This window comes from Homo sapiens, chromosome 5 (assembly GCF_000001405.40).
Source record: "Homo sapiens chromosome 5, GRCh38.p14 Primary Assembly".
Taxonomy (NCBI): Eukaryota; Metazoa; Chordata; class Mammalia; order Primates; family Hominidae; genus Homo; species Homo sapiens.
In genome coordinates, this window is record NC_000005.10 from 68,632,440 (window position 1) to 68,645,992 (window position 13,553).

At 36.0% G+C, this 13,553-nt stretch overlaps 1 long non-coding RNA gene across 2 annotated transcripts in view, besides 1 other annotated feature; it reads right to left on the reverse strand.

Annotated features, from left to right (window-relative positions):
* LOC105379013 (uncharacterized) overlaps nt 1–13,553 on the reverse strand; it is a 406,546-nt gene that overhangs the window by 206,128 nt on the left and 186,865 nt on the right. The gene's annotated exons all lie outside the window — the stretch shown is intronic.
* Nucleotides 12,966–13,025: an enhancer, noted in NCBI's record as "active region_22636". NCBI's record gives its function as "activates an Ori minimal core promoter by ATAC-STARR-seq in GM12878 lymphoblastoid cells {active_cell/tissue: GM12878}" and the evidence as "EXISTENCE:reporter gene assay evidence [ECO:0000049][PMID:35858748]".

The following is a 13,553-nucleotide window of genomic DNA, read 5'->3' on the forward strand; positions in this document are numbered from 1 at the left end:
TTATGCCAAGCAAGCCCTGGGCAGCCCAAGTTATAGAAATGTTACTGGAACAAAGAAGAAAAACAAAAACTGTGAAGTTATGTGTGTTGACAGACTGGCAATGTTTTTATCTGATTCAGTAAGCTTTTCTCTGAGGTTTAGCAGGAATTGCAAATGCTAAGCTGTTCCACCTGAGTTGAGCTTTTAAAATGCTGCTGCTTTGGAATCAGAACTGTAGGAAATAATAATGTTTCCATTAACAACAAGAAACAGTGTTAGAACAGTATCTTTCTAGTACTTCAAAAGCAGGACAGGGGCCTGGGGTGAGACTCCTGGGAAGCACATGGGCAACATTAGCTTCCAGGTCATTCTCACCCTGCCCTCTTCATGCCTAACAGTGACTTCCTTCTAGGAATATATTTCATGGAAAAATCCAAAATACAGGGAGGATCTTCCACTGTTTATATTAGGAAGAAAGGAAGGGAGGGAGGAAGGAAAAAAGAAAAGAGGGAGAGAGGGAAGGAAAAAAGGAGGGGAGAGAGGGAAAGAAGGACAGAAGGGAGGAAAAAAGAAAAGATTAGTCTAAAAACCTACCATTTACAGACATTTAAGAAATTAACATATTTCTAGTGACTAGTTTATTGTGACTCCATTAAAATTATTTTGAAGAGTATGCAACAACATGGAAAATGCTTACTATATGACTTTACGAGAAAATACAGAATATGAATACATTATAATCACATAATTTTGGGAAAGACAGAAAATATAAAGACAAAAGTAAACAAAAATTAACAATTCAATCACCCAGGGAACTATTATTAACAGCATGTTTTCATCCAGTCATTTTTTAGTTCATGTAGGTACATACATACGCAAACATGTATTTTAATAAAATAAAATTGAGATCTCATGATGTATACTTACCTTTATATCCTACCTTTTTTATACATTTTATTTATAAGCTTTATATATTCTTTAAAAATACGATTGTCAATACTTGCATAGAAGTCTATCATATGAACATCCCACAATATATTATGTTGAACCATATAAAAATGCTGCTTTGTAGGTCAACATTTTATATGATTCAATAATTTTACATTAGTAGTTTTAAATGATTTCACTTGGTATTTATCTAATTCTCATGTGGAGCACTTGGGTTATATTAATTACAATGCAATCATTATAAATAAATATTTAGTGCCTTTTCACTTATTTCTACAAGGAAAATTTGTAGATAAGCATATTTTTTAAGATCCCTCAAATGTTTTTTCATTTTGCCCTTCAGAAAACTTGTACCTATCTACATTCCCATAGTAGTCCTTCTCATATTGTTTCTACTGCACTCCAAATGCAAGAAACTGCTTATATTTTCTATTTCACACATGATGTTCTAGAAAAAGATGTCATTTTTTTCATTCTTGCCATTTAAGATAACAGTTTCCCCAGAATAGGGCCTGTTCTGGGGTAGGGGTTTGCGGAAGGGGAGAGATAGCATTAGGACAAATACCTAATGCATGCGAGGCTTAAAACCTAGGTGACGGGTTGATGGATGCAGCAAGTCACCGTGGCACATGTATACCTATGTAACAAACCTGCATGTTCTGCACATGTATCCCAGAACTTAAAATATAATAATAATGAAAAAAAAAGTTTTCCCAGAATAGTTGTGAATAATTTATCTTATCAAAGCTTGTTGATGTCAAGAGAAAGGACTTTCTGTTGAAGCCTTCTATCTGGACAGAACAAAATTGGAAATCAGTTCTGAAGTCTAGGGTAAAAAACAAAGAGGATATGTTCTGGGGCCAAGTAAATACAGCAATGGGAAAAAACACAGGGAATTTGAAATTCCAGAGTTAAGTTTAGAATTTTCAAGATTAGACTCTAGTGAGGTTATGGAAGCCCACTAGTTCAAATTGGAACAGAATGAAGCATAAAAGGATGATCACCAATAAAAGAGAGCTCTTGGATGTCTTTGGTGTTTGGTGACGTCTCCATCTCTGCCAGCATAACACCCACATCCCAATCAGCACTCACTTCTCTACAGTGACCTGTCACCTGGCTGTCATAAACTCACATGGTGGCATGGTGTTGGTTGATGGGTAAAGTCTGAGGGAATAGAAATTATAAAAAGATGGAAGGGAGATAATATAGAGGGTGCCCTCTTAGGGTGATTTCTACTAGCTCCTTTTAATGCAAATCACCACTGGTTCAGATAAATATCCTCACAAGGGTAGTAAGTAAATCCTTGGCCATTCTGACCATCTTCTCCACCAAAGAGAAAGGAGAATATTGGAAGGGTTACAGAGGCTTCCAGGGCCCACTACAGCCAGGGGCCTGCCTGGGACTTCTGTAAAGAGAGCTAAAAGGATGACTTTGTTCTCCAGAAAACAATCTAAAGAAAAGGCAGAAACTTCTAGCCAAAGTGACCCCAGGCCAACAAAAACATGAAACTGAATAAAAATATGGAGCCCTTTCAAGGGAAGGCGCCATAATAAGCAGTTGCAAAAGCTTCTTTGAGCCATGGCAAGTCCCTGGTTCCCAATAAAACTCCAGATCCCCCAAGTTTGCTTGGCTGGGGACTCCTCTAGGAACAGAACACAGAGCTCTCCTGGAGTCTTTGAAAGACATTTTCACAGATTGCTATATACCCACCAGCACCAAGTACACCATCAGCAGAGATGCTCAAACCAGGAAACCAGCTTGGTCTAGTTCATGAATGCATCCACATCTAATTTTCCTTCTCCCAGATCACTGGCTCCAAAGACATTCAAGCTGCAATAACTTAGTTTCACACATCACCAGCAACTCAGTTTCATACCTGTCAAAGATTAATGAATTGCATTTGAGCTGTGGGTCCAGGTCTGGACCTGACCCTCATCTCTGTGCACTTTTCCTTCCTTTGAGTTTCTCAGATGCCTGTCCTACGGGGCAACCAGCCATAAAAACAGATAGGAGACAGAAAGTGGGCCCTGAAATTTCCACATTTCAGAAAAGATCAAGGAACTCAGCTTTCAGTCCTCTTAAAAATGTTCCTCCTCCCACGTCTGATTCAGAAGGCACGCATGCAGAACTAACCCCACACAGAACTTCTTAATTACATATAATAACTTTTCCTCTCATAGTTTCTCTTCATATAGAAGTTTACACCAGTGGCTCTAATATTCTTTCCATGATACTTATTTGGGACATATCTCCATACATAACCATTTCCCACTGCCAACATTGGATATCGTGTACATTAATATTACTTTCCCTCTTCTCAATCTATGACCACTATTTGAAAACTTTATCTAAAATATGTTTTGGGGGTTTAGGGTTTCTGGAAGACCCACTTAAAGCCTTAGAGAACATCTCTGGGGCTAGTACCTATTTTCAGGAGCCTCGGACAAATTTTTTGTCTCCTATTCTTAAATGTTACATCACAGAATTAAGATGAGGCCCCTCTTTAATTGTTAATGAGTTTGAAGTAGAATTATATCTGAAGGGGTTTTTAAAAATATATTTTATGTTTTTTAGCCTGTTTACATAGTGGTGATATTTACAAGTGAAACTCATTGTGGAGCTTAATTGAGTTTGTATTTTTTCCAAATATATTCTTAGCCCCAAATTATTTAACTCCCATGGGAAATGGTCAGATCACACTTTTTCCATTTCAGAAGAGAAGAAACTGATTATATTTTAAACCATTTTTTCACTTCTAGTATAATCAAGAAAGTTTCTACCAGACTCTAGCATCCAACAGATAACAACTACAAAGCATGGACAAATTATACAAACAAAAATCAAATATCCAAAAGTGCTAGGGAGTAAACTCAAGCAGGAAAATTCTGAAAGGAAGCTGAGATTTGATAGAAGGGATTGGTGCAGGTAAGAGTATTTATGTCTTCTGCTGAAAGGCAGGTCAAAGTCAGTGCCACACAGAGTAACTAAAACTCTAATAGAAAAACCAAGTCTTTCTAGACTAAAGAACCAAAGGTCAGAATTTGGGGCAACCATAGCTACTGGAAAATGGCAGGAAAACCCCCAAAAAATGAGCTAGTGAGGAGAAGCCCCAAATTTTCTACATATATTTTCCTAAGTATCTGGATCACCCCTGAATCACATGTGTATTTGGTAGACTCAAAGCACCTCAGCAAAGAAGAAAGAAACAAACAACAAGAAAAGCTAAACTGGCCAGGTGCAGTGGCTCACACCTGTTATCTCAGCACTTTGGGAGGCTGAGGCAGGAGGATCACTTGAGCTCAGGAGTTTGAGATCAGCCTGAGCAGTATAGTGAGACCCTGTCTCTATTTTAACAACAACAACAAAAGAGACAGAGTATAATATGCAGTTTGAGCTACAAAGGTAATTGCCTGTCGAAATAAAACATCAATAGTCTTCAGAGGGAAGTAATACAAATCAGAATACCTACAACCAATCATTCACAATATCCAGAGTATAATATGAAATGTATTACCATATGAAGAAACTATCCCCAGTAAAATAAGAAACATATTCTTACAATGAATTCAAAGATAATAAACCTCTACTGAGAAACGGAAACTATAAAAAAAAGAATTAAATTGAAATTTTACCACTGAAAATCAACATATCTGAAAGTTAAAACTCACTCAATGTGCTTTATAGTAGAATGGAAAATATAGAAGAGTCAGTAAGCTTAAAGACAGGTAAATGGAAATGATCAATCTGAAAGACAGAGGGAAAAGATTGAAGAAAATAGAACAGATCCTCTTGAGCTAATGGACCTATGGAGCAATAACTAAAGATCTAACATATGTGTCATAGGAGTGTCAGGAGGAGAGAAGAGGAGGGTTGAGAGTGACCATTAAAAAATATTTAAAGGTATAATGGCTAAAGGTTTCCAGATTTGGTGAGAGACTTAAATTTACAGATCCAAGAAGCTTAATGAACTCCAAACAGGAAAACTGTTATGTAGTTTCATCATAGTTAAACTGCTAAAAAACAAAGATAAGGAAAAAAATCTTGAAAGCGGTCAGATAAAACCACACATTACACACAGGAGAACGATGGTTTAAAAATACTGACTTCTCATTTAAAATTTTGGAAGCCAGAAGACAGTGGAACAATATCTTTTAAAGAACTGAAAACAGAACAAATAAAAATCTGTTACACCTGAATTCAATAGGCAGTGAAAAGATCTTTCAAGAATGAGGCAAAATAAAGACCATTTTCATATAAAATAAAACTAAAAGAATTTATGATTAGTTATCTGCACTATAAGAAAAGCTGAAGGAAATTCTGCAGGCTAGAAGGAAACAATACCAAATGGAAACACAAATGTATAGAAAAGAATGTAAAACATCAAAAATGGTAAATATCACGGTAAACAGAAAAGACGTTTTCATCTTTATTTCTTTTAAATTCATAAGGCTATTTACAAAAAAGCATAACATTGTCTCATGGAATTCATAATGTATGTTAGCATACTACATGTAATAACTATAGCACAAAGGGCAGAGGTAGGATGGACTCATACAGCTGAAACCCCTAAAATAACCATTAAAAATAATACACAAAGGTGTATCTGAAAATACAATAGACATTTTGGGGTTTTTTTTCTTTTCTTTTTTTTTTTTTTTTTGAGAAACAGGGTCTTGCTCTGTCACCCAGGTTTCAGTGCAGTGGCAATAATCATGGCTCACTGCAGCCTCAAACTCCCGGGCTCAAGTAATTCTCCTGCCTCAGCCCTGCGAGTAGCTGGGACTACAGGCATGCACCACCATGCCAGGCTAATTATTTTATTTTCTGTGGAGGCAGGGTTTTGCTTTATTGCCCAGGCTGGTCTCAACTCCTGGCCTCAAGAATCCTCCTGCCTTGGCCTCCCAAACTGCTGGGATTACAGGTGTGAGCCACCACACACAGCCTACAATAGACATTTTTAGAAAGCAATCCTAGAGGAGAAAAAAGGAAAAGCAGAAAAATAACAAAAAATAATAATAAAACAGTAGACCTAAATCCAACCATATTGGTAATTTCATTAATTGTTTTTAGACCAAACAGAAATTGTCAGAATAAAAAAAAAAGAAGACCCAGTTACCAGAAATGCACTTTAAATCCTATAAGGAAGCCAAGAAGCATATAAGCAGTCCAAGCTATAAAACAAAAACAAAACAAAAAGCAGATTTATGAAAAAACCTTGACAAATCTCCACAAAAGTCTATGTTTGAGAAAATAGCCTCTATGAACTTTTCAAACCTTATGCTTCAGAACCAAGTACACAATTTACTGATTTTAGCCAGACAGCAAGATAATTTTCTACATTCAACTTTATCTCCATTAACATATAAAGAATTATTCCACATGTGAGACGTCATCAATTTTATTCCTTTCCTTCCAACTCCGCTTTGAGCAAAACATTCCTAAATTAAATCACAAGGCAAGTGTATATCCCTGTCTTCTAATACACATTCTAAAAAATTCTTGACTCCAGAACAAATTTTTTTATTTGAACATTACATTCTTAGTAGCATTTTGAGAGGGGGTAGGAAAGGTGGGCTCTGACTGAGTTTTGAGGAATATTGGTCAGGTATTTTGTAGAATGTCTCTCAATTTGGGTTTGTATGGTGTTTATCTCACAATGACATTAGAGTTACGAGTTTTTCTTTTTCCATTCTCCATTCTTTAGAAGCAGGTCACTAACTCTAGCCCACACTCACGATGGAGGAAATTAATTAAGTTCCATCTCCTGGAGGGGGTAGCATCTACATAAATTATTTGAAATTCTTCTAAAGGGAAAAATATTTTCATTTCTTTTTTCTCTATTTTTCAACCATTTATTTATATCAGTATGGACTCATATATATATTTATTTTGCCTTTTGCGTTATAGTATAATACCATGCCATTTCTTTTTGATTTAAGTGAAATCATTTTCTGTGCACAGAACTTTTTTTTAAGAGACTTTAAGTTTTGGAGCAGTTTTAGGTTCACAGTAAAACTGAGCAGAAGGTACCTAGCTTTGTCCATTACCAACATCCCTCACAGTTGGGTAATAGACAAAGCTGTGTACCTTCTGATATTGACACATCAGTATATGGTAATGACATATCATTATATCCAGAGTCCATAATTTACATTAGGCTCTTGGCGTTGTACATTCTATGGTTTGGGACAAATGAATAATTTGTCCATGATTCTACCATCATAATATCATAGAGTACTTTACCATAAAAATCCTCTGTGCTGCACCTATTCAGTCCTCCCTTCCCTCTAGTCCCTGGCACTACTGATCTTTTAACAATCTCCATAGTTTTGTCTTTTTCAGGATGTCATATCCTGAAATCATAAGGTGTGTAGCCTTTTCAGATTGACTTCTTTCACGTAGTAACACACATTTAAGTCTCCTCCATGTTATTTTGTGGCTTGATAACTCATTTCTTTTTAGCACAGAATAATATTCCAGTGTCTGGATGCACTAAGTTTATCCAGTCACCTACTGAAGGACATCTTGGTTGCTTCCAAGTTTTGGTAATTATGAATAAAGCTGCTATAATTATTTGTGTGCTGGTTTTTGTGTGGACATAAGTTTTCAACTCCTTTGGGCAAATACTAAGCAGCACAAGCTGTGGATTTTATGGTAAGAGTATGTTTAGTTGTGTAAGAAATTGCCAAACTGTCTTCTAAATTGGATTTTTGCATTCCCATCAGCAAAGAGCGAGTGTTCCTGTTGCTCTACATCCTCTCCAGCATTTGTTTTTGTCAATGTTCTAGATTTTGACTATTCTAATAAATCTGTAGTGGTAGCTCACTGTCATTTTAATAGGCATTTCCATGATGACATATGATGTGGAGAATTTTTTCATATGCTTATTTTCCATCTTTATGTCTCCACTGGTGGGGTGTCAAAGTCTTTGGCCCATTTTTTAAAAAATCAGGTTGTTTGTTTTCTTATTGTTGAGTTTTAAGGGATCTTTGTATATTTTGGATAATAGTTCTTTATCAGATAATGTCTTCCACAAATAATTTATCCCAATCTTTAGCTACTTTCTTAGTCTCTCAACAGTGTCTTTCACGTAGCAGAAATTTTTTATTTTAATGATGTTCAGCTTATTAATTCTTCCTTTCATGAACTGTACCTTTGGTGTTGCAACTAAAAAATTTTTCCAAACCCAAGGTTGTCTAGATTTTTTCCTGTACTATCTTCTAAATGTTTATAGGTTTACGTGTAGGTTTGCAATCCATTTTTAGTTAATTTTCATAAAGGGTATAAGGTCTGTGTCTAGATTTATTTACTGTTTTGCATTTGGACATCCAGTTGTTCCAGCACCATTTCTGTCTTGATTATTGACTGTAGCTTTATAGTATGATAAGAAGTCAAGTAGTGACTATCCTCCGACTTTGTTCTTCTCCTTCAATATTGTGCTGATTATTCTGGATCTTTTGTGTCTCATATAAACTTTAAGATCAGTTTGTCAATATCCACAAAAATAATTTGCTGGGATTTTTATTGAGATCACACTGAATCTATAGATCAGTTGAGTCTTCCTATCCATGAACACAGAATATCCCTCCATTTATTTAGTTGCCCTTTGGTTTATTTCATCAGAGTTTTGTCATTTCCCTCATATAGATCTTGTACATGTTTTGTTACATATATACCTAAGTATTTCATTTTGAGGTATGCTAATGTAAATGGTAATATGTTTTTAATTTCAAATTCTATTTATTGCTGATATATAGAAAAGTGACTGACTTTTTTTTGGTCAATTCTCTTAGATTTTCTACACAATCATGTCATCTGAGAACAAAGGCAGGTTTGTTTTTTTTTTCCGCCGTCTCCATTTGTACACCTTTTATTTCCTTTCTTGTCTTATATTAGCCAGGACTTTCAGCACAATGTTGAAAAGCAGCGCTGAGAGGGGATATCTTTGTCTTGTTCCTGATCTTGGTAAGAAAGTTTCAAGTTTCTAACTTGAAGAAACTTGAAGTATGATGTTAGCTGTAGGGTTTTTGTAGACATTTTTAAATCAAGTTGAGGAAGTTCCCCTCTATTCTAGTTTACTGAGTTTTTCATTATGAATAGGTGTTAGATTTTGTCAGATGCTTTTTCTGTCCATATTGATATAATCATGTGATTTTTCTTCTTTAGCCTGTTGATGTAATGGATTACATTAACTGATTCTCAAATGTTGAACTAGCCTTGCACACCTGGGATAAATTCTACTTCATTGTGGTGTATAATTCTTTCTATACATTGTTGGATACAATTTGCTAATATTTTGTTGAGAATTTTTGATCTATGTTCATGACAGATACCGGTCTGTAGTTTTCTTTTCTTGTCTTTGTTTGGTTTTGGTATTAGAGTAATGCTGGCCTCAAAGAATGAGCTAGAAAATATTCCCTCTCCTCTTATCTTTTGAAATAAATTATAGGTAACTGGTATAATTTCTTTCTTAAATATTGGTAGAATTTACCAGTGAACATATCTGGGCCTGGCATTTTCTGTTTTGGAAAGTTATTAATTATTGATTCAATTTCTTTAAGAGATATAGGACTATTCAGAGTGTCTACTTCTTCTTGTGTGGGTTTGGCAGATAAGGTTTTCCAAGGGATTCATTCATTTCATCTAGGTTATTAAATTTGTGGCCATAGAATTGTTCATATTATGCCTTTACAATCTTTTTAGTGTTCATGGGATTTGTGGTGATGTCCCTTTTTTATTTCTGATATTAATATTTTGTGTTCTCTTTTTTTGTAATTAGTTTGACTAGAGGCTTAATAATTTTATTAATCTTTATTAATCTTTTCAAATAGCTTTTGGTTTTGCTGATTCTATTAATTTCCCACTTTTAATTAATTTCTGCACTAATTTTTTTATTCCTTTTTTCTACTTTGGGCTTAATTTGGTCTTCTTTTTCTAGTTTCCTATGGTGAAAGCTTTGATTATTGATTTTAGATCTCTTCTTCTATTATAATAGATGCATTTATGCTATAAATTTCCCTCTAGGCATCACTTTTGCTACATCCCACAAATTTTGATTTTGTTTTCATTTTCATTCTGAACTTTTTTGATTCATGTAATCTGTAATGTGCATTTCCATATCATCCTAAGTAGATCTATTTCACTTTAACTGGTATGTAATATTACATTGTATGGATGTTTCATATTTTACTTATTTAGTACTATTTTGTAAGATACTTAAGTTGTTCTAATTTTTATTCTCATTCAAACAATGCTCAATGAAATATATGTGTATATCTTTGTATATTGCAGGTTTATATCAATAAGATAAATTCCTAACGTTGGAATTGCTTAGTCAACAGATACATATATTTTCCAACGTGATAAATATTGTCTAATTGTTTTCCAAAAATGTTGTACCAGTTAATACTCACGATGAGCTTTCAATAGGTCATTGCCTCTGTAGGAGGAGATCCACTCTCTTTTTGTAATTGCAAAGCATAGTCACCTTGCCTAATTACAGCAGGATGTTATTTATACCTGTATGTTTTGCTATAAACACATTAACCTAGAGATGTGGGATCTAAACGTTAATCTTAGGTGTTGATATGCTCTGATGAGTAAGAAATTGCTAAAAGCTAGAGACAAAATGGGAGAAATAACTTGAGGCTTGCTGCAACACAGGAACAGAAAATAAAAATCAAGAGAAAAAAAGTTGGGGGGCATAAAGCAAAACATAAAAGTAAACAAAAAAAGGGGGAAGGGGAGAGTGAAGACCATGGAGATTGTGGTTAATCAACAACAGGACGTGAGAAGTTGGGGAGCTGACCAATATTCTTGACATAAGATTTTGAGAAAAATAGAGCTTACAGGGTAGGCTTAAACCTAGGAATCATTCTTCATATTTACCCAAAGAGGACTATGGCACTAGCAAGTATTTGTTTTCTCAGGTACTAGTGATTCAAAGAGAGGGAGCTAAAAAGGGGAAAATTAAAATCAAAAGCCTAACTTATTTTATGCAAGAGATAGCTGAATTCTAAAATTTTTGTTTTGTTTTGTTTTGTTTTTTTACCCTCTCATGGGCCTAGCCTTAGGATTTCTTTCACCACAAATCCTTTCATAGATGGGATCCCTATCTGCCATAGCAGCTGCTACCTCTGAGAGACTTGAAGCGACCTCTACCTCACACATGAGAGAAAAGACCCTTCTTTTTACTTCTTGGGGAATGTAGTGATTCAGGACTGTAGTGTTTCCTCTTGGAGTCTCTCCCTAGAGGTTTTCCTATTGTTTTTGCTCTAAGCAGAGTCCCCACATCCACACTCCCCCACCCCCTCCATAGCACAATCAATATTAACTCATTCATAACAGAGGAGCAGCCTCTTTTCCAATCACAGTTCTGCTGACTTGTTTGGGATTGGTTTGGGTTGAGTCACTAAGAAACATATTAGATTAAGGCACTGGTCTTTTTAATAATAATATAGAATCTCCACACCTCTCAAATAGACCTCAAATTTGGGAGCCATTTATTTTCATTACCCTCTCTTCATAGGAAAAATTGAGGACCCCGTTTATTTACTTAAAACAACAATAAGCTGAATCACTGTTGCTATTTAACATCTTACTTTTTAGAAAATATTCTTTGTGGTGCCTGACGGCAATGCTGCAAAGGAAACAACCAGTTTAAAAATAGGAAAGATAAATTAAATAATACCAATTTACAAACAAATTTAAAATCGAAACAATCCCCCATACACACTCTTCTTGGTCAGCTCTGCCTCACCCTAAGAGATCAGTAGGTAAACAACATTCTGTTACCTCTGTTTGCACCCATGGATCATCAGGTGAGAGGGCAGGTGTTTGGGAGTAGTTGGAGAGAGGGCTGAAACAATATTTTTGCACCAAATAACTTGGTCTCTCCAGTTTGTAGTTAGTTTATAATGAGTTTGTGATCCATGGATCTCACAGGCTGCTTCCTTGTAACTTAATGAACCATAATGACAATTCCAAAGGCTACATTAATTTCTTTTTAAAATAAAAGAAGGAGGGTCTGCTGAGAGTGGATGTTAGGAACTAAGCTATTTCCATTACCCTATTTTAAGTAAAGCGCTAGCTAGAAGGCCCATGTACCAGCTACTGCTAACTCCTAACTTCAGAAACTCATTTGCAATGAGCTTTCCATACCTCTTTGGGTGGGAAATGTACTATTGCTTCTCTTCTTAGCGAGGCTATCAAGAAACACACTTCAAAAAATTCCCACAACACACATAATCATTCTTTCAAAATAGCAATTTGGCTGTAGCAGCCTTCTTCCCATTCAGCTAAGTGTGTGAAAGGTAATGGAGACAGCTAATGCCTTTTGGTTTTGCTGTGGGCAGGGGAATCTTACCATCATATGTAATTAGTAAGAACTACCAGAAAACAGACAATTGTTATAGAAGTCACACTGAAAATACTCTAACAAATAGTCTAAGCAACATTCATTGAGCTCCTTTGGGGGTGGGGCAAGGGGGGTAATTTTCTGGTGTTAAGAATGTCATAAGATTGCCAAGGTAGTAAATGACTGGGACTTTACAAAGGCCTTTGGAAGGAGAGGGGGCAATCCCATGAGAAAATGACAGGTACTGTTTTATTTCCATGGTCCTTTTTTACCTGCCAGTTCTTACTTCTCAGTGAACACAACTGATGTCCCCACTTTCCCCAACAACAACAATGACAATAAAATAAATTTTAAAAAGATTCTCGGTATGAGTCATGAGCTTACCCACTGTGGACCAGGAAGTTCTCTTCAGGCTCTCACCTGCTAAACTATGGCAGAAGTGATTATGCAAAGTTTTCAAAAACCCACAGCACAGCTCTCCTCCTGCTGGGCTATGAATGGAGACAAGGGACTGGTACTAGTGAGGGCCATTCGGAAGAGGAAGTGGGTGAAGGCTCTGCCACTGGCCAAAATCGGGTTGCACCTCTTCTCCCATGCTCCCCATACAAGCCCTGACAATGACATTCTCCTGGAAGCCCATTTTCATTGCTGCCTCCAGGCCTTTGCTCTCCTGTTTGTCTGGGACTACCTGAGAGCCCTTCTTCTAAACCCATCCTAGTCTGATTCGAACTCATTTTTCAAGGACCTACCTCTTCCCAGTTTATAGGCCATTTTCTCTCATTTCAGCCCACACTGCGCTCTCCTTTCTCTGAATTCTTGCAGCACTTATAATCTCTATAATTATAATAACAACAATATTTTAGTTATTTACGTATCAAGTACTCACTACATGTCAGGTGCTATGCTAAGTAGTTTACGTAGTCCCTTATTTAATCTTCACAGCTATCCCAACCTATGTTACATTTGAGGAAACCGTGGTTACGTGGTTAGTAAGTGGCAGGATGGGATTTGAACCCAGGTCCATCACTGGTAAAGCCTGTGTCCTTCCCCATGGTCCATATTTCATTTTTTGGGCTACCTCACAATATACTTGCACTGCATCCTTTTTGTATATTTTATATTTCATTTTATGTGCTTGTGCCTCATGTTCACAACAGAATTTATGCCTCTAGTGAATGGGGCTACTTATTAGATGTGTGTTTACTGCCCATTTTGTCAAGCATGGGATCAAGCATTTAGTAGGTGCCTAATATTTGTGACTGGATATAGC